Genomic DNA, 19,140 nt, shown 5'->3' with positions numbered 1-19,140 from the left:
AAGAAAAAGATTAAAGAGTAGGGAAAGCTCAAAAGAGAAATTTAAATCGTGTAAGGATGTGAAAGGTTATTGGTGGAAGATAGCAAGTAACCCACTTCTAAATTGTGGTAAGAACACAGTCAGAGGAAGTAGACTTCAATTGAGATGGGATGAATTTAACTTGAATTTTAAGAATACCTTGTCTGACAGTTTGGGGTTAGACCACAGAAATTCATAAAATCTCACACTGCATAGACCAGGTCAGGCATCCAGGTTTTGCCAGGATTCCCAGTGGCTTGGATCATCAATGGCCAAGAAGGTTTGTGGTTTCCAGGTGTCTTCTGGCCACCAGCACACCCCCCAGCCTGTGTCTGTACACAGCAGACTGATACAAATTGGGACAGACAGAGACAGTCACAGGCCGATGTGCCCTGGACAGTTCCGCACTCCCCACGAAGTCATCCTCCTCCTGAGTGTCCCCTCGAACAAACTACTGGCTTCAGGGTGCCCTCCACAGACTTGCCTTCTCATTACCAAAGGTGCCCCAATTTCCACAGACTCCCCTTACCCACTTCAGATTATGTCTAGCCAAAGCCCAGGGTGGCCTGAGAAATGGCAGACTCCCCCACCCTAACATCCCAGAGCCCTTTGACATTCCTGTCTCCAAGATGGTTCTGCCAAGATCCTTTCACGTGTCATGGGACCCCACTTATGGCCCAAGAAGAGAACATCAGGGCTCTGGGATTTGATGTCTGTTGCAAAGCAATGACATCTGCACTGCAAAGAAATGAAAACTATGAGGGTAAAAGTAAACCGTTTTTTAAAATACCATTTCACTTGGTCTTAGTTTCACGACAAGTACACTTTTTCAGAACTCATAAAAACCTGTGCAGGTAACATTTAATAAACAGTAATTAAGTGATGGAAACTTGATACTTATGCTTTAGAGCACCATCCAGTAGAACTTTCTGCAATGATGGAAAAGTTCTAGATCTGTGATCTGCCAGTAGGAGTAGTCCATAGTCACACTAAGCTACCAGGCTACTAAGCACTCAAAATGTGGCTGGTGCAACTGAAGAACTGAATATTTTATTGTATTCAATGTTCATTTCCATTTAAATAGCCACACATGGCTGGTGTGACTGATGTACTGGGCAGGACGGCGTTAGAGTAACCTAAGTTTAAAAACTGGTAAAGATAGCTAAAGATCCTGTCTACACACTCACTCCCTTTTTCCTAGCACACTAACATGGAGACGTGATTGCCAGGGCCTCACTCAGCCTTTTCCCAAAGGATGGCTTCCTGCCCTGCCCAGTGCTGAGTTTGTGCTCTACTTCCACAGTGTAAGAATTCAAGAAAGAGGAAAGAGGCCAGGCACGGTGGCTCACACCTGTAATCCCAGCACTTTGGGAGGCCGAGGCGGGTGGATCACGAGGTCAGGAGATCAAGACCATCCTGGCTAACACAGTGAAACCCCGTATCTACTAAAAATACAAAAAAAGAAAAAAAGAATTAGCCGGGTGGGGTGGCGGGCACCTGTAGTCCCAGCTACTCGGGAGGCTGAGGCAGGAGAATGGCGTGAACCCGGGAGGCGGAGCTTGCAGTGAGCTGAGATTGCACCACTGCACTACAGCCTGGGCAACAGAGCGAGACTCTGTCTCAAAAAAAAAAAAAAAAAAAAAAAGAGGAAAGAAACATGAAAAGCAGCTCAAGAGTCAAAGACAGATTGATTTTGGAGAATAAACCTGAGAGGGGCTTCTGGCTGAGTTAGGTCAGAGGCATTCTCTCTTACAGACCAAGAGTATTTAAAGGTTTAGGGCAGGAGAGCTTATCACAGGCTTGGAATGTTTCTGTGTCTTTTTGCCTCACTTATCTGGGAGGGAGAGTTGTGTGTCTGTTCCCGTATATCTTCCTGCAGCTGCAGGCATACCCCCGAGTCTGCTTTTAGCTCCCCTATCTTAGCACATCTAAAGGGAAAGGAATGTACTTATTAGGGTCCATTGTTTTACTGGGGCCCGTTGTATGAGTGTGAAGTTGGTGGTTACCCAAGAGACTTCCCCCCCACCCTCTGTGCCCGAGATGTCTTATATGGGTCTTACTGTCTGCTCTTTCTGGCTGCTTGCAGTTGGAAGAGAAGTGATATCCTTGAAATGCATGAGGCTAGAAAGGGAGCTGGAACTGTCAGAGATGACGGTGCTCCTGCTCTGTCACACATGGGGCCATGAGCTCTGTCTGAAAGCTTGGTAGTGTCAGCCAGCCCCTCCTCTGAGCCAAAGATACATACACTTTTCTGCTGCCCATGGATCAGAGGGCCCTTTGTCTGTCACTGCAAAGTCCGCCAGAGCCAACACTCCATAGCTCAGCACATGCTGATATTTACATCACAGCCTGCTGCTTTGTGTGTGAGTGGGTGTGGAGAGGGAGTGTAGATACGCTTAGATATACTCACACACATACTCATATTCTGCGTGTTTCACACAAATGGTAACACGCCATTAGAACATATATACTGTTCTACCTTCTTGCTCTTTTTGCTTAATTCTGTAAATTGAATATTGTTTCATATCAGCACATACAGACGGGCCTCATTTTGTATTCTCTCCGTACTACCCCACTTTATAGATATACCATTATTTATTTAATCAGTCCACTCTGACAGATAATTAGATTATTTCCACCCTTTTGCTATTCCATCCTTGCTGTAATAAGTGCCCTTACATAGTCTTCGTGGGTATATACCAAAAAAAAATAAATAAATAAAAGTATGTAGGATTAACTCCTAGAATGGAAATTACTGGGTCAAATCACCTGTGAGTCTTTCATTTGGGTAGCTATTGACAGACTGTCCTCTAAAGAGGCACTGGTCACACTGACTCAGTAGGAGAAGGCATGGTACCTTGTCATCCACGGAGCAGGTCAGCAAACTGAGCCTATTGGCCATCCACGCTGAAAACCCAAAGTCCTCCTGGAAGGTGAGGCCGCCATGCCCTAGAACTCCCACTTTTATCTGATGGGGAGAGGAAGCACAGCAGCTCTGTGGGATGAAATGGGAGGAAGGCGATGGCGGGGGGCGGGGGGGTACCGGCGGAGGGACCGGCGGAGGGAGCTGTAGACTCCTCAGAGCTCTGCTAGGGCCTCAGCCGCCCTGGGCCATTATGTGACAATTAGCTCCTCTTGAGCACATTCTGAAGTGGAGGGGACAGTAATTAATACCTTTAACCCTCATTAAGGGAGCATTCTGCGGGATGGAGTCTGATTAAAGTGCAATTTGACCTCTCAGGTGGCTCTGCATGTAGGAATAAGTAGGTCCCAGGCCCAAAACCAATGTCAGGGCATTGCTGAAAAGATGCTCCTGAGACGGAGACCGTCGGGGCTTCACCAAACACCTGCGTTCAGAGACAGCAAATTGAAAGGCCCTGATGCTGAAGAATCTGTTTGAGACCCTTTTCAAACGCATATCCACATTTAATATGAAGACCGTAATTGTGGTAGGTGGTCACAGGGCTGTTTCACAGGACTGACGTGATTTTTAGCCACTAATGATACTGTGGGACCCAAGCCACCGGCATAAGTGGCTTGTCCTGTCCTTGAAAGTCTTAAGACTTTAATTGAAGAGAAGCACGCGATGATGCGAAACGAAGCCAAGCAGACCAAGACTGTGGGCTGTAAACCAAGCTGGCAGCCGCCCCAGCAACAGGACGTGGGAAACCAAAAGGACCTTGGTCCAAAATATATGTGTGAAAGCACCTGAAACCTCCACCACTAGAATCATTCATTCGTCAGTGCAGGGTCCCCTAACAATTCTGCTGCACTCAAATTCACAGTTGCAGCATAGCAGTGGTTTTTTGGCTCATGCTACAAATCTTTCACCGAGCACTCTCTGTGTGCCGTGCACAGTGCTAGGGGCTGAGAATGCAGTAGTGAGCTGCTTTGCAGTCTGAGGGGGAAGGACACATTAAGAAAATGGTCATACAAATGAATGTGCAAGGCCAGATCCATGCGATGAACATGAGGAAGAGGAAACCCTACCTAGGCTGAGGGATCAGGCTGAGCACTGCCTGGCTTCATCCCTGCAAGAACCCTTTTCTGATGGAGAATCTGAGAGTTCGTGATGAAGTGGCAGGTCTCTCTGATTCTTTAGCTTTTCTTAACAGCTGCACCTAGCGCCTATATAATCACCCAAGATAGTGTATTTAAGGTCCCTGGCACAGAGGGTACAATCAGCAAGTGTTTATTGCTTTATAGATATTCAGTAAGTGAGTTTCTCACGTTGAGCTTTGGGGAGTCGATTGGGAACCCAGGAGTGCAGGGTAGGTTCTGGCCTCTCCACTGCATACTGGTTTTGTTGTCAGGTGACTGTCACAGTTCCCAAGGCCACTAACCCAGTTCCTCAACGTGGCAAACAAACACAGTACGTTTTTTTGATCAAGAGATTAAGCATCCTAGAAATGTAGTCTCTTCAGTCAACTCTAGTGGTTTACAGCAAGGTTCTGACTGACCCTAACTCAGGCTTCATCCCAGCTGCAGCCTGGGCAGAGCCTGGATAAGTCCCAGCTCAGCACACAGCGTTCTCCCTGGACGTGCATTTCATCTTTGCCTCCCTGCGCTATCGTGAGGAGTAAACTGAGCCGTGTACACGGCACAATGCCTGGCACGAGGGCACATTCTCAGTGAACGCCACCTGCTGTTCAATTACTGCTGAGTGCCCAAAGCAGACCCTGCCCAGCAGAACAAGTGCCATGGGGCAGGCTGTACCTTCCTGGAATGGAAGTGCAGGCTGCGATGAAGAAGGAGGAGGGGCATGGCAGAAGGGTCCTGTGAGAAGCCCCTGGGGCCCCAAAAAAGCTGGGGCCCTTCTCCAGATCCTCCCACTACCCTTCTTCTCATTTCACTCTGCTCTGTTTCTCCTGCTGGGGCCGCTTTGGGGGTGCCCTGCACGTCTGTCCACCACCTCTTGAATAACCCTGGCTCCACCTCTGGAGCCCTTGGCCAGCCTGGTGCCCACCATTCCTCAGGCCTCACTCCCAACCTGTCTGGAAAGGAAGATGAGCCGGGTGCTGTCAAGAGGGTTGTGGCTTTATGGAAAGCTCGCTGGGCTGGGCTAATTTCAGAAACCTTCTGAGTGACCTTGGGTCAATCTGGCGGCACACATACATACACATGTACAGCATATACACATGCATGCACACACACAGGGCATTCATATATACCACACACTATGCACGTGTACACATGTGATCTGTACACACTACACAAACACATGCACACATACAAACACAAACGATATATGCACACCACATGCTGTACATACATACACATGTGTACATGTACACACAAACACACACATGGACCACTCCCTACACACACTCATATACATATATACATATACAGGCCCAAAAACACACATACACAGATACACATGCATACATACATCCCACACATGCAAACACATCAACACCCCACACATGCATGTGTTCACACACAGGCATGCACACGTAGGCATGCGTGCAGTCCCACAGCTGCCATTATTTCCTCGGTGGGCTCATGGCAGATGCTGGTGGCCTGCACACCCCTGGGCCTCAGGCCTCTTCCCAGGGCTGCGGCAGGGACAGCAGCAGCGGAACAGGGAGGTCTGGCAGGTGCTGGGATGTGTTTACTGTTTACATCGAGTGCAGCGGGAAAGCAGCTTCCTGCTCCCCGTGGGAGTCAGAGGAGCCCCCAGCTGCAGGAAAGGCTGACGCAGACACCCAGCTCCCAGCTGCACCTTGGGCCCAAGGAGGGCGGGCGGGGTGGGGCGGGACTGCTGCACCCAAGGAGAGTGGCGTGGACTGGCAACAGGCCAGAAGCGCTGCACCACTTTACAAGCTAATGAACTTTCCAGGACACAGTGTGGCTCCCCTACACCGCACCGTGAGACCGGTGTCTGCCTGGGAGGAGCAGGATGGAGACTGAATGAGGGGTGATCTGGGACCCTCCCACGGGACCCCAGGAAGCCATATTTATTTCTTCATCAATAAAAGACCTGGAGTGATCCCCATAAAGAGGCTTCTAGCTCTGAGTTCCTCTTGTTCTTCAGATAGAGGCACTCCACATGCCAGGGGCCATGAGTTTTGGAGGAGACAAATACTTTAACCATAGCACTCATTGTGCCTGAAAACGCCATTGCAGACTCCTTATATTGAAATAAATCTTTCTAGTCATCCTTTAGAAAAATGTAAATATCCATGAGGGGTGTAAACATGTATGCTTTTGTTGAATTATGACACAAGCACAGAAAAGGGCTCAACTAGCAAAATGTAAAGTGGAGATGCTCCCAGCTCCTGAGAAGCCCTTCTCCTAATCACTGCCCTCTCCATTTGCAAAGGCAACTATTGTCCTGATTTCCAGCATCCTAGGTTACTTTTAGCTGGGTTTGAACTTTATGTACATGGAAGTAAAGAGTGTGTATTCATTTCCGTCGGGCTTCTTCTAGCCAACATTAGCTTGTGAGACTCCTGCAGCCTTGCAGGCAGTCGCAGTTCGTCCACTTCCATCACTGCGTAGTATCTCCTTGTAGATGCCATACTTAGGCTTCCTATTTTACTGTTAATGAGAGCCTATCTTTTTTTTTTTTTCCCCCGATATGGAATCTCACTCTGTCGCCAGGCAGGAGTGCAGTGGCGCGATCTCAGCTCACTGTAATCTCTGTCTCCCAGGTTCAAGTGATTCCCCTGCCTCAGCCTCCTGAGTAGCCGGGACTACAAGTGTGCACCACCATGCCCGGCTAATTTTTTGTATTTTAGTAGAGACGGAGTTTCACCATGTTGGCCAGGATGGTCTCGATCTCCTGACCTCAGGTGATCCTCCCACCTCGGCCTCCCAAAGTGCTGGGATTACAGGCGTGAGCCACCTCGCCCGGCTGAGCGCCTATGATTTTTTCTTCAGTTTGCGGCTATTATGAATGATGCTGCTGTGGACATCTGTGTCTGTCTCTCTGCACACATGTGCACACACTGCTGTTTGTATATGCCTGGGAAGACAGCTGCTCGCCCCAGAGCATCATCACATGTGGTCGCAGTGCCACCAAGTTTACTGCGTTGGCTGCTCCAATTTCCCTGCCACCAGCGATGCATGCAAACTCCCACTACTCCACATCCTTCCAACTTGGTGTGGTCAGGCGTTTTCATTGTCCCCACTCTGGAGTGTGTCGTATCTCACAATGGTTTTAATTTCCTCTTTCCTAATGACTACTGGGGTTGCACATCTTTTCATATGCATAGTGATCACTTGAATATTACCGTACTTTTTAATAAAACCCGCTGAGTTGGTTGTCTATTTTTCCATTGGGTTGTCTATTTCTTTCTTATTAATTTTATACTTTTAGTGAGAAGCTGTTTGCAGGTGCATGGTTGTGAATATTGTCTCCCACTCTTTAGCTTCCATCTCACTGTCATAATGGTGTCTTTTAATGAAAGTTCTTGCGGTGGCTCATGCCTGTAATCCCAGCACTTTGGGAGGCCAAGGCAGGTGGATCACCTGAGGTCAGGAATTTGAGGGCAGCCTGACCAACATGGTGAAACCCTATCTCTACTAAAAATACAAAAATTATCTGGGCGTGGTGGTGGGTGCCTGTAATCCCAGCTACTCTGGAGGCTGAGGCAGGAGAATCACTTGAACCCAGGAGGCAGAGGTTGCAGTGAGCCAAGATCGCACAATTGCACTCCATCCTGGGCAACAGAGTGAGACTCCATCTCAAAAAGAGAGAGAGAGAGAGAGAGAGAGAGAGAGAAGAAAATAAGTTCTTAATGTTAAGGAAACTTGGCTTATCAACTTTGTCTTTGTGGTTACAGTTTTTTTGTGTCCTATGTTAAGAGTTCTTTGCCTACCTCAAGATTATGACACTATTGTTGCTAATAGCTTTCAGAAGCTTTTATTTTAAGTTCCAGGTACATGTGCAGGATGTGCAGGTTTGTTACATAGGTAAATGTGTGCCATGGTGGTTTGCTGCATCTATCAACCCATTACTTAGGTATTAAGCCCAGCATGCATTCCCTCTTTTCCCTAATGCTCTCCCAAACCCGCCGCCCTCCGACAGGCCCCAGTGTGTGTTGTTCCCCTCTTGTGTCCACGTTCTCATTGTTCAGCTGCCACTTGTGAGAATATGCGGTGTTTGGTTTTCTGTTCCTGCGTTAGTTTGCTGAGGATAATGGCTTCCAGCTTCATCCATGTCCCTGCAAAGGACATGATCTCATTCCTTTTTATGGCTACATGGTATTCCATTGTGCATATGTACCACATTTTCTTTATCCAATCTATTATTGATGGGCATTTGGGTTGAGTCCATGTCTTTGCTATTGTGAATAGTGCTGCAATGAACATACACATGCATGTATCTTTATAATAGAATGATTTATATTCCTCTGGGTATATACCTAGTAACGGGATTGCTGGGTCAAATGGTATTTCCAGTTCTTAATCTTTGAGGAATTGCCACAGTGTCTTCCACAATGGTTGAACTGATTCACATTCCCACCAACGGTGTAAAAACGTTCCTATTTCTCCCCTTTTCAGAAGCTTTATTGTTTCACTTATCACATTTATATCTGCGAGTTTACCTGGAATTGATTTTTGTTCATGGTTCAAGTCTTATTTCAGAGCCATATGAATATGTGATTGACCCAAAGCTCCAGCACCATTTCTTGAAAAGACTGTTCTTTTCCCAGTGCTTTTCAGTGCCCTCTATCATTGAAAACAAGTATTTAAAAACAACAACAACAATGAAAACAAGTGTTTATGTAGACAGTGATTTGCTTACAAATCCTCTATTCTGATCTACTGCATCTGTCTATCATTCTGCCAATATCACATTGACTTGAGCACTGTAGCTTTACAATAATGGTTTGCATCCATAGAGTAAGTCATCCCACCTTGTTTTTCTCCAAAGTGTCTTAGATATGCTTGACATTTTGCACTTCTAAAGGAATTTATAATCAGCTTATGCATTTCCACCAAAAAACTAATATTTTAATGTAAATTATATTGAATCTATAGATCAATTTGAGAAGAACAGACATCTTTACATTATTGAGTTTTCCAGTCCATGAAAGTGATATTTCCCAGCACTTGTTTTAGCCATTAAATTTTCTTAATGATGTTTTGTAATTTTCTGTGTAGATATCTTACACATCTTTCCTTAGATTCACTTCTAGATATTTGATAATTTTCCGTTATAAATTTCATTTTTAAGTTTTACTTTATACCTGTTTGTTGCTGGTATATAGAAATAAAATTTACTTTTTGAATTGGTTGTATATCCAGCAACAAGTGAAACTTATTATCTAATTTTAATTATTTGTTTTTAGATTCTGTGGTGTTTTTAAACGTCCATAGGCATATTGCCTTTGGAAAATTACAGTTTTATTTATTTGTTTGCAATTCTCATAGCTTTTTGTTTCTCTTGCTTTATTGCACTGGCTTGGCCATTTAGTTATGATGTTGACTAGAAGTGATCATAGAAGACATCCTTGTTTCAGACTTCAGCAGGAAAATGTTCAACATTTTATCATTAGGTACAAAGTTTTGAAACTATACTTTATCACATTTCGTGTGCTAAGAATGTTTATCATGTATGGTTGTGGACTTGTAGCAAATACTCTTTCTGCCTCAATGGAGATGATCACATAACTTTCTCCTTTTGTTACCATGTTGATTTTATTGAAGGATTTTTAATTGAATTTTTAGTGAGATATCAGAGAGATCCTGCATAGGTGCTGCCCAATCTCCCCCAATGGTAACATTTTGCACAATTATAGTATAATATCACTGATACAACATACCAATTTTATTCTGATTTCCACCATTTTCCTTGTACTCATTTGTGTGTGTATATGCATATGTATTAAGTTTTATCATCTTTTCAGGTTTGTGTATCCATGAGCACAGCCAAGATACAAAAGAACAATTCCAACCCCACGAGGATCTCTCATGCTGCCCAGTTCTAACCACATCTACTTCCCTCCTACTCCTCTTCCTTTAAGCCTTGGCAACCAAGAATCCATCCTCCATTTCTAAAATTGCATCATATTAAAAATGTTCTATAAATGGAATAAACGTTCAATACCCCTTAGGATTGGCTTTTTTCACTCAGCATAATTCCATGGGAATAAGTCCCATGTTGTTGCATGTATTAAAGGTTCACGGCTTTTTATTGTTTGATAGTATTTTATGGTATGGATTCATCACAGTTTGTTTAACCATTCACTTGTTAAAGGACATCTGGGCTCATTCCAATTTTTAGCTGTTACAAATAAAGTTGCTATGAGGATTTCTATACAGGTTTTTGTGTGAATATGTTTTTCAGTGAAAAACTGGGATAAGGGCCCAAGAGTGCAATTGCTAGTTCTATGTATGTTTAGCTTTATAAGAAACTGTCAAGACTGTCAAACCATCTTCCGTAATGGTAGTACCATTTTACATTCCCAACTGCAATGTATGAATGATCCAGTTTCTCCACATCCTCATCAGCATTTGGTATTGTCACAATTTTTTGCCTGATATATATGTAATAATTGATTGATTGATAATGGTTAAACCAGTGTTGCATTTTCAAGTACAAAGTTATGTTTATAGTGTATTTTTTTGGTATATCATTTTATTTTCTTTAGTAGTATTTGGCTTAGAATATTTGCATCTATGTTCTTAAATGAGACTTGTTTTATAACTTTCTTCTCTTGTAATATCTTTGTTAGGTCTTTATATCAAGACCTCATAAAATCAGTAGCAAAATATTCTTTCTTTTTCTGTTCTTTGTAAGAATTTCTGTAAGACTAGTATTATATTCTCTTAAAGGTTTAGTAGCATTCATGAGTAAATCCATCTGTATAGAAAGGATTTTAATTTCTTAATGCATTTAAGACTATTCAGATTTTCTATTTCTTCTAGTGTCAGTTTTGGTAAGTTGTGTTTTTCAAGGAATTTGTCTATTTCATCTAGATTTTCAAATTTATCAGCATAAAGTTTTTCACTATATCTTCTTATTAGCTTTAATATTTGTAAGACCTGAAATAGTGTCCTATTTTTAATTCTTTGATGTTAGTTTTTTGTGCCTTTTCTCTTTTTTCCCTCAATCAGTTTCATCAGGGCTTTATCTTTCCTTTAAAAATAAAAATTCAGAGAGCCAGTTTTTTTATTTGATGGCTGTCTTTATTGTAATTTTTTACTTTATTAATTTCTACTCTTATCTCTATCATTTCTTTCCTTCTATTTCTTGGGATTTAACTTGCTGTTATTTTTCTTCTTGAAGATAGTTAACTCATTAATTTTTACTTTTTTCTTTTCACTATATAGATTTAGACCTATACAATTTTTTCTGAAAATCTATCTCCTGTTGGGTACTAAGATTTTCTTTAATCTCCAAGTATGAAATATAGTTATCATTATGCATTTTAGGCTATACTTATGTGCATATAGAATTAGGGGGGCATATATCAGAATCAGTTATAGGAATGCTTATTTTCTTTGTCACTTTTCAGGCTTTTCCTATGTAATACACACTACATTTGCAATTAGAATACAATATTTTTTTTTAAGAACTATGATGTACACATGTAAATTAAAAGAAATTAGATCACAATTCTAAAATGGAGGCTTGGGCCACTATAATGCTCTGTGTGAAGGCATGGTAGACTGAAATGGCTTTGAAAGTTCTGTAAATTGAGTAACTGTGGAAAAGCAGATTCAGTGGTGTCTCAGTCCTGATGTTAGTTTTAATTTTTGTACTAAATCCTTATCTCTATATGTCCTTAGGGAGCACATCTGGAATCTTAGGATAGGTTTTTGAAAAGTGGGTAACCTGTTGAACAATGGGAAATGTGAGTTTTAAGGAATCAATTAATGATTTAAAATATTATAGAAAACAACACAAAAGCTTGTATCTACTTAGCTAAACAATGGCCTGGAAAGTGAAGGGACACATCACCTTAACATATCTATAGAATGAAAACACTAGAGGAGAAGAAATAGGAGGAAAAGGGGCTGCACAGTTTCATCCTCTGCAAACCCCACCTGCATCCCCAACTAGCAGCCACTGCTCTCTCCAGCCTGGCTTAGCATCCTGTCACACTCCAAGGCCTAGGATTGCATGTCCAGGCATGAGCTTGTCTCAAAGAGGAGGCCCAGTGAGACAAAAGTGAGCCCCAACACACACACACACACACACACACACACACACACACACACGCACCCCATCCAGCTGGCCAAGCCCACAGTGCTGCCTGTCCTGGCTGTTTCCCTTTGTGCTCTGCACTATCTCTGCTCTGAACCTAGTATCCCGATAACTGCTTCACTGGGACCACCCTCTGCTACCACAGTAACCAGCAGACCTCCAGGATCCTAAGAAAACAGGAATACTGGATGCAGAGCAAGGTCAGTTCTGGCCACGTCTGGAGAAATGTGACCAGAATGAGATAGGGAAGGTGAAGGACAAGGCTCACTCTTGATAAGACACAGGAGCAAGGCCCCACTTTGAGCCTCTTCCCTGGGATCGGGAGAAACTGGTAGACACAAGACTGCCAGCAGATTCCTGAGCTCACAGGGAGCTTGAGCTCTGCCTGCTGCCTCCAACCCTGTGGAGTGAGCACCACCACCTGCTACCTCCAACACAACCCACCCAGGTGTGGCGCTTGCCCTGCTGGCCAGGCTCGAGTGTATATGGGGCTCAGAAGGGTGGGGAGATCTCATTGAGAGGCAGTGAGGCCTTGGCGGAAGCTGATACCAGCTAGAAACCGATGCCTCCCCACGGCACACACCTGGGGGCTGTGCAGAGACCTGCACTTGGCCAAGGGACCCCCAAGGCTCCCTGAGCACAGTGTGTCGTCCCCAGAGGTGAGATTGGTTGGCGCTTGACTCAAACAGCCAGAGCAGGCATGATAGCTCCCTCTTGAAAGATAGATTTTACTCCAAGTGGAAACTAATTGATTCTCCCTCAGCAACTTTCCCAATTGGCTAGAATTCTACAACTGACAGATCGGTGAATGGGGAGGTTACTTTTATATAAAACAGTGAGCCACAGACTTCAAAGCATTCTCTAAGGGAAGCTTAATTACATCCTCCCCAACAAGACATCCAAAATACCCTCGCCTAGCTTTTGTGTGTGTATTTATATGAGGCACAATGCCCACGTCCTGTGACATTAGTATTTCTCTTCACATCACTGGAAATCTGAGTACTTTGGAACTGGTTGGAGCAAATTATAATGCACCCAGCCAGGGCCTTTTGTTACGCAGCCCTTCGACAGTGGTGCCTGTCTGGCCCTCTGAAAGCCCAGGGACCACTGGAGTTCATTTGAGAACACTCAACCCCAAGTTGGTCGTGCAAATTATTTCTGCTCTATGCAGAGAGTCTTTATTTTCCTCATGACATCAAGTGACTTTGAATCTTGCATGATACATACTCACACATACACAGGGGAAAGGATTATGGCACTACCAGGATTAAATAATGCTGATAATAATGAGTTGATGAAACTGGAACCATCAAGGCTCCCTGTATGTCCCTGGGGCACAGTAGTGCCGTGTCCAGTTGGGGAGGAACTTCTGGACTGCCAGGGCTGAGTTTCTTCTGCAGATGTTTCTGTGCCATCCTCCAAATGCTTAGCATCTGGATTTGGGATACCTTGGGCCTTGGTGAAGCCAGCTCCTGCCTTTTCTCCTGGGCCCAGGAAAGGGAGGAGTGTAGATCTTTCCCAGGTCAACCAAGGCAAAGGTGGCAACCAGACAGCAAAGGATCCCCACTGCTGCTTCATGGGCCTGTCCTCCTAGGCTTAGCAGTGACCTTGCTGGTGGCCAGGCTGCCCTACACCCTTTTCTTTGTGAGGAAGGTGGACCCAGCCTCTCCCACACCCATCACTGATCAAACTGCGGGCAGGCACGGGTGCACAGGCAGCACCAGAGAGCTTGCCACCCCAGGAGGGATTGGCACCAGCTCTTCTCACCAAGATTGCTCCTCCGGTGGCCAAGGGTGCCCAAGCAGAGATGCCAGTCACTCAGCTCAAGGCCTCCCTCCTTGGTGAGGCTGGAAACATCCCTCCGTCCTCCAGGAGCACGGTGAGAGCTGGATGAGGAGGTGGACCGTCGGGCACCTGCCCGGGGTCCAGTTGAAAGGGACACCAACACAACACTGGGGTCACAGTGCCCTCAAGTGGAGACTTGCAAGCACTGCTCTCCATCAATTCCAGGTTAAGAACATGCTCTAGGATGACCCATGCGTGTCAGAAATCTCTTATTCTAAATATAAAGATGGAGACGTGTCATTTTGTGGATGAGTATATTTATTTGCTAACAGGAAATAAGCTATTCGCCATTTCCAGTAAGTAAATGTTGGACAAATATTTAAAGAATGTCCGTTTTGAGCCTGCCTGGGGGGCCTCCACACCTCCTCCTGCCCCTGCCTTCCCACCCACTCTGCAAATGCTCACAGGCAATGACCACCTGTGAGTAAACAGGATGTCTCTGTGAGTAAACGGGATGTCTCTTCCTTGGGACCCTGGAACCTCTCGGGATGGGCTAGACTTGGTAGAAAGGGAAGGAAGGGTAATTAGGACTGAAAGAAACACTCATTTAATGAACATTTTCACTGGGCCGATTTTGTGCAAGGCTCCAGTAGCTATCGACCTTGTGATGCACGGTGTGGTTCTGAAGTGTGGACTGACAGGGCCAGGGCACAGCACAACCTCGGGGAGTGCCTGGAGCAGGGAGCCGCCGCGAGGGAGTTCTCGGCCACTGTGCGGCTGCTTATGTCCTATAGGAAACGCACAGCGCAGGTAACACGTGTATTCTGATGCCTCTCTTGTGGGTCTCACCTGGTCATCAGCCATTAACCTTTTCTCTTGGCTTCTCATCACCTGCCAGGTGCTGCCCGGAAAGGAAGAGAAAGACTTTGGCTTAAAGGTGGACCCCAGAGCTCCCAACAGCTGGAGGCTCCCACTCACAGCTCCCCTGCAGCAGAAGCACGTGTTCCTTTTTTCTTGTTGTTGTTTCATTGCTTTAAGTTTTATTTTAACTGTTGGATAATAATTGTGCATATTTATGGGGCACAGTGTGGTGGTCCAATACCTGCCCTCCTGTGTTCACTGCAGCACTATTCACAATAGTCAAGATATGGTATCAACCCTAGCGTCCATCTATGGAGGGATGGATTAAAAGAATGTGGTATATACACAGATGGAATACTATTCCACCATAAAACTCAATGAATTCCTTTTCAACAACATGGATGAGCCTAGAGGATACCATGTTAAGTGGAATTAGCCAAGCACAGAAGGACAAATGCTGCACATTCCTTCTGGATGGAAGGCAGAGCCCCCACACTGGCCACAGAGGGCTCACTATCACACAGCAGCGCTAGCGTGAGCTGCCACAGCTGCCCATCTGGGCCACTCACAACTGTACCACGAGTATCCCCACACAGAGATCTCTGTGCATTGCTGCATCTGTGTCTACTGGGTATGTTCCCGAAAGTGGCACAGCTGCATGGAGGCTCACACACACAGAAGGTGATGTGAAGAATAAAAATCACAGACCAGGGGACACGGCCTCCTGCCAGCCCTCCAAGGGGGGTCTCCTGGATGATGGACACCCCCAGCAGAGGATGCCTGTCAATCATTCCTGCCATCAGAGGAACTGCCCAAAGGCAGGTGTGTTCCACACTGAGAGAAGCAAGGCCTGGTTGGAGACATTTTCTGAATTGTCAGTGTCTGCAAATGCCTTCAGAGGAACCCAGACACTGACTGGTTCCACCCTCTCCCAGGTCACTTTTCAGTTGGCAAAGCAAGCACAGCACGATGTCTGTATCATTGCAAGCGCATGAGGACGCCTGCGTCACTGCAAGCACACGAGGACGCCTGCGTCACTGCAAGCACACGAGGACGCCTGCGTCACTGCAAGCACACGAGGACGCTTGTGTCACTGCAAGCACACGAGGACGCTTGTGTCACTGCAAGCACACCACGATGCTTGTGCCCCCGCAAGCATATGAGGACACCTGTGTCACTGTGCATTTAAAAGGCCCCAGGACCTCCCAGCCACACCCAGACACAAAAGGGAAGAAGAAAGCAGCAGGGAAGCTATTGTCAGGGAAAAGCTGAAATGAATTCCAAATACATTGAGAGTAGAGAAAATGCTTCCATCAGATTTTAATTCCACACCCTCAACACCGGTGGGATGAACATTTCTGAAAGGCAGCTCCATAGAATGTTGCTGCAAGAGTCTGGCATCCTCACACCCCCTGCCTTAGATGATCCTAGAGGACACCCCCGCCATCACCCTTTGGGCCACTGTTAGGACGCTGAGCTGGGCTGCAGGAAAACACCAGAATTAAATCAAAAATGGGCAATGGAGAGAGGGCCTTCTAACTGCAAGGGGGCCAGGAAGTTGCTGTCTTGACAAGTCACTGTGAGGCTTAAAAATAAGCTTTACAAATAGCATGTTAAAGGGAGTGGCTCAAACAGCCCTGGCTCAGGGACAGGGGTCTGCAGGCACTGGCCTCTGCCATCTCCCTCCTCACAGCCTCCCCTCTCCTTTGAATGGTGCTTTTTGCAGGCTCCCCTTCCCGCGGGCCTCTAAGCCTGGGGCGCTGTCGTAGGAGCCAGGGGGTCTGCTTGAGATGTGCGCTCTGTATGGGTTCTTCTCATGCCGGATGTTGAAGAGGCAAGTCCTGAGCATTGACGATCCAGGAATTGATGAATCCACCTGAAAATGTCCTCCCTGAATCTCAAAATCCCTAAGGACAGGACTGCTTAGAGTGGGCAGTACTGTGTGCACGGTATAGAAGGACTCACATGAGGAGGAAGGACCTGACTCTGAGGACAAACATCTCTGATGGTCAAGTGAAGACTCCATCCCACAATCACCCCGCCCCATCCCTCCTAATGTTTCCCTCACTTTATTATAGGACGGGGCTGCAATGGTGTAAGAAGGGGGTGTAGAACGGGAGAGGATTATACAGTGGGACGGACATAACCTCTTTTAGCCTCTGTGATAATTTACACACAGGATAATATTAGCAAGTTAAGGCTGCAAGAGCCGATGTTTGAAGAGGTGTGATATTAACCAGACAGGCTTCATATTTGAGTGAATGTGGAAGAAATGCTTAGGAATAGAAAATTTGACATGGGCCCCTTCTCCTTCTTTCCTTATTAGAATGAGGGATCTGACATGCCTTCCCCAAAGCTAAATAAATGTGTTTGTCCATGAATTTCTCTTTGTCTTGGCCAATTGTATTAGAATATGACAGTTATGTTGACCTTACCAAACCACCATCCCCACCATATCCAGGGCACGCACACACACTTCAGTTGACATATCTAATTTGGTTTCATTGTGGGGTGGGGTGACATGTATAATTGGAAATGTGACATCCTAATGACTTCTACTGACTGTGGGAAGAGGTACAAGTGCCCCTTGAACAAGAAGGAGTTTCCAAGCCCTCCTCCTGTTGCCTGGGTGAATTCCTATGGAATGGAGATTGCCGGGGTGATAAGAGGAGCTGGATCAGGAGAGTGGGGCTGATATGAGTATATTGGGGCCAATAAAATCTTCTTGAAAGCTGGTTTCTTGGATACAAGTTGAGGACATTACACCACTGTCTTCCACAGTGTCCTGCTGGCATTATTAGGCCACTAAACCTCCTAAGATTCTCTCTCCCTGCACTTTACCCCAGGAGCCCAGCACCCGACAGCCGTGAGGAGGAGGAGCGCTGGCAGGGGCAGCATGATGTGGCCTTATGTTGCGACCTCCCAGAGAGCCCTTGGACAGCTGCAGGTCAATAAAACATCCTCAGACCCTGCCCACTGGACCCCATCTCTGTCCAGGGCCCCTAGGATTGCAGGGCAGAGCAGGTAAGTGGGGACAGGAAGGCTCACTGCACAAAAGGAAGGCTCACTGCACAAAAGTGATGCCTGTTAACTAGAAAGAGTTCACAGGGGGCCCCTGCAGATGTCATCAGGAGACACCACGAAGAGACAGCAGTGGATCACAAATATCGCCTGGAAGCAAAAAGGATGGAAGATCCGGATTGGGCTTAAAGAAACTGACTGGGGCCCCAGTGCATGTGAGGGCACCTGGCAGAACGCGACGCACTGGTTGCCTGAGAGATGTTCGCCTGCAGCTCCGGGATTCCATATGTGCCACGCTGCACCCTCCCCACGAGCAGTGCCTCTTGGTGTTAGATGTGCTTTTGACTTTCCTGGGGCTCATGTTAATATGCAGATTCTTTATCAGTGGGTCAAGGTAGGAGCCCAAGATACTGCATTTCTAACAAGTCTTTGGGTGATACTGATGCTGCAGGTCCCCATAAACACTCTTGGAAATACAGGATCACATCCTCCACCCCAGACCTACTGTATCAGAATCTGCTGTTTCTGACATCCCCAGGTGACTCAAATGCACATTAAGATTTCAGAAGTTCTGTTTAGACACCCAGTCTTATGCACTGAAAATCAGAAAGAGGAGAAACTGAAGAAGATTGTGGGCATTCTTGCCACCAGACAAATGGCCAGAGGCCCCTTATGAATGGACCATGCCTGGGAGCAGCTAGGACATAATATATAAGCTGCCAACCGAATTGCCTGTCCATGGCTTGATAGCTGCTATGGTTTGAACGTGTCCCCACTAAAATTCAGGTGTTGCCAAGGTGATAGTATTAAGAGGTGGGCCCTTTAAGAGGTGATTAGGCCATGCGACTCCTCCCACATGAACAGGATTAGGTGCCCCTATAAAAGGGCGTGGCAAAGGGGGTTTGTCTCACTTGCCCTTCCATTTTCCACCATGAGAGGACACAGCCAGAAGGCCCTCACCAGACACCAGATGTCAGAGCCTTGATCTTGGACTTCCTGGCCTCCAGAACTGTGAGAAATAAATTTCTATTCTTTATAAATTACCCAGTCTCAGGTATTCTGTTGTAGCAGCACAGAACAGACTAAGACGATCACCATTCATCTGGTGGAGTCTACACTACAATGGATTTGTACCCTGACAGCTGAAATACCAAGGTGATGGCTCCATAGGCTCCCTGAGTTTGCTCATTTCAAGTGTACTGAGTCACAGGTGCTCAGGCATTTGCTAAAGTGAGGACGGTAACTGGAACCCAATGGAGATGGATCAGATATGGTGGCTGAGAGGCAGTTGG

At 45.9% G+C, this 19,140-nt stretch overlaps 1 protein-coding gene across 1 annotated transcript in view; it reads left to right on the top strand.

Annotated features, from left to right (window-relative positions):
• DRC11 (dynein regulatory complex subunit 11) overlaps positions 1 to 17,208 on the top strand; it is a 200,792-nt gene extending 183,584 nt beyond the window's left edge. The window contains exon 20 of the transcript XR_007081589.1: positions 14,865 to 17,208. The gene's annotated coding sequence lies outside the window, so the exon portion shown is untranslated. The remainder of the gene's footprint in view (positions 1 to 14,864) is intronic.
• Positions 17,209 to 19,140: the final 1,932 nt, after the last annotated feature.

This window comes from Homo sapiens, chromosome 2 (assembly GCF_000001405.40).
Source record: "Homo sapiens chromosome 2, GRCh38.p14 Primary Assembly".
Taxonomy (NCBI): Eukaryota; Metazoa; Chordata; class Mammalia; order Primates; family Hominidae; genus Homo; species Homo sapiens.
This window is presented reverse-complemented; position numbering and strand designations above follow the sequence as displayed.